Source organism: Homo sapiens, chromosome 2 (assembly GCF_000001405.40).
Source record: "Homo sapiens chromosome 2, GRCh38.p14 Primary Assembly".
NCBI lineage: Eukaryota > Metazoa > Chordata > Mammalia > Primates > Hominidae > Homo > Homo sapiens.
The window spans coordinates 181809920-181812841 of record NC_000002.12 but is presented as its reverse complement, the minus strand read 5'-3'; the positions used below and the strand labels follow the sequence as shown (position 1 = coordinate 181812841).

The 2922-nt window shown below is 38.5% G+C and overlaps 1 annotated feature.

The window, feature by feature from the left end:
- Nucleotides 1686–1980: an enhancer, noted in NCBI's record as "tiled region #14191; K562 Activating DNase unmatched - State 5:Enh". NCBI's record gives its function as "activates a minimal TATA promoter and a strong SV40 promoter by Sharpr-MPRA in K562 cells {active_cell/tissue: K562}" and the evidence as "EXISTENCE:reporter gene assay evidence [ECO:0000049][PMID:27701403]".

The window sequence follows — 2922 nt, the reverse complement described above, 5'->3', positions numbered from 1 at the left end:
TTTCCCACGTTTTAAAATTGGAATTTTACAAAATATAAAGTGTTTAAAATGATCACATTTCTTCTTTTTAGCCTCCATTTTTTAAAAGTTTCTTTAGGAGAATGGCAGGACTCTTTGTGCCATATAAAATAGGAATTTAAATTAGGAGGTATAACAATATTCCACTGCCTCTGAATTTAGTCATTGTCTTGAATGCCATCGAGTATATCATAAAAGTATATCCTGGATTACACAACAACAGGAAGGAGGAAATACTTTCCAGATCATGAGCTTAAATTATGGAATTACAAAGCAAACTTTTATGAAAACTCTCCTCCCTACCTTCAGCCCACCAACTGCACAGACATTTCTCTGATGTCTGAGCTAAGTGGTATTTTTGTGGGTTCTAAGCCTTGCAGTTGCTGTTCAGGCAAGAGGGAGATTTCTCTCTCTCTTTTTTTTTTTTTTTCAGTTTAGGGGAAAAAGTGAGATTTAGGTTTTTTTCAGTTTAGGGGAAGAAGAAAACTGGGCCATCCACATTCCTTTCTCTACCCTATCACTTATCACGGACTATATTGTATGCATGATCTAATGACAACCATTAAGTATCTGAGAGAAACCTAGAGAAAAGTTATGTGATTACAAATTTATGATCTCAAGAAATAAGGACTTCTGACTCCTACCTTTAGCCCCATCAATAGAGCAGCATGATTATAATTAGAAGGAGTATGCCTTCAGATTTGCTCAGGACAGTGCTTGTTTGGTCTGTTGTTCTGAGCTAATTTTTATTTTTATTTTTATTTTTTTGAGACAGGATATCGCTGTCTCATCCAGGCTGTGGTGAAGTGTTTTGATCTCGGCTCACTGTAACCTCTGCCTCTCTGGCTCCAGTGAATTCTCCCACCTCAGCGCCCCAAGTAGCTGGGACTACAGGGGTGCGCCATCACATTTTTTGTAGAGATGAGGTTTTGCTGTATTCCCCAGGCTAGTCTCGAACTCCTGAGCTCAAGCGATCTGTCTACCTCGGCCTTCCAAAGTGCTGGGATTACAGGCATGAGCCACTGCACTCAGCCCTGACCTAATTATTAATAGTGATCCTTTTATTCTCAAAAACATCTTTGGGATATAAATTACTTAGTCATTTTAAATATAATGGTTATTTAGCATAACACCAACTCACTAGGTTTCTTTTTTTATTCCTCATTTTGAGAGCTTACTATATGCCAGGCATTGCGATGGCTCTTTTTCACTTGCACTCTAATTAATTTTTTACAACAAATCCACTATGCAGATAATGTCACTGTCTTAAACAACAGGAAACTGTGATTCAGAAATGTTAAGGCATTACCCAAGGCCACACAATGGTACATGATAGCCAAAATTTAGATGCGTTTCTGCGCAACTGGAAAACTGTTCTCTTTCAATTATATTATGTGCAGGTTCAAAATGGGGCCTTAAAAACATACCTCCCCTAACCCTTCTCCTCCCTCCTCCAACCCTACTCCCCCCTCCTCCTGCCCACATAAATAAATAAAACACACAGACAGAAGCAGCAAGCAACCCAGAGTGGCTTGGTGCAAGTCAGAGGCTAGTTGACTCCTGGGTGATGGTACATGATGGACTTAACCAGATAATGCAGTAAATCATGAATTCTAACAACTCAATTGTCCCGAATATGTTTCAGATCACTCTGTGTGTCTCTAGGGCTCCCTTGAAAGAGAAAAAGCTACTCTGGAGAACTTTCACTATGTGCTTCTCACTCCCTTTGTGGCCCTGGAAACAGAACGGAACTCCTCCCTAGCCTGCTGCCCACTGCTACCAGTCTTTCCCACACCCCAGATATGAAGAAAGATAATCAGGCCCTCAAATAGAAGTTTCCCGATTATGAGTCATGGCTTACTCAGCCTTTGTTACAGAGAACCTGGAAGCCTTTGAAATACGCTGTTGATTTTGGCAGTCTTAACTCCCCGTGCTGTTATCAAGAGACAAGTTACACGACTAATTTGCTTGAGAAATTACCTCTGTAATGAGTATATTAAGAAGAGCCTATGTTAAAGGGCCTGGTGTTTAATATACGGTGTTTAATGTCAGTATATATTAATAGCTACTCATTTCCTTGCACAATACTTCATAGCTAATAGTTCCCCAATAAATAGCTGTTACATTGAATTAAATAAAAATATGACATTATCATAGGGTACTTTCAATGAGCCAGGCATTATAATAAGAGATTTTTTTCTCACTCTCTCTAAACACACACACACATTTTGTATGTATATGTAAAATAAATATATATTATGTGTGTTTCATACATAATACATAATATACATAATAAATACTTAAGTATAGACATTTAAATTTAATTAAACTAGATATGAAAACAACATACATCAGCATAACTCCCTTAAGATTAGTTATTTTTATTTTATTTTTTGAGATGGAGTCTCGCTTTGTCGCCCAGGCTAGAGTGCAGTGGCACGATCTCAGCTCACTGCAACCTCTGTCTCCTGGGTTCACGCCATTCTCCTGCCTCAGCCTTCTGAGTAGCTGGGACTACAGGCACCCACCACCAAACCGGGCTAATTTTTTTGTATTTTTAGTAGAGACGGGGTTTCACCGTGTTAGCCAGGATGGTCTCAATCTCCTGACCTCGTGATCCACCCGCCTCAGCCTCCCAAAGTGCTGGGATTATAGGCATGAGCCACCGTGCCCAGCCCAAGATTGGTTATTTTTTATATGTACCTCATAGGGATGATTTCTGAAACAATTATATATTCTACCATGGTAGACATTATACAGTTTCAAGAAAAATAAATTGTTATATTCATTTAAGTTAAATTAGATGTGTACTATTATAGTATAGATGCTTTATAGCCCTTATCTGCAAAACATAGATAATAATATGGCCTAATTATTAAGATTGGCAAGCAGATAAAATTGGAC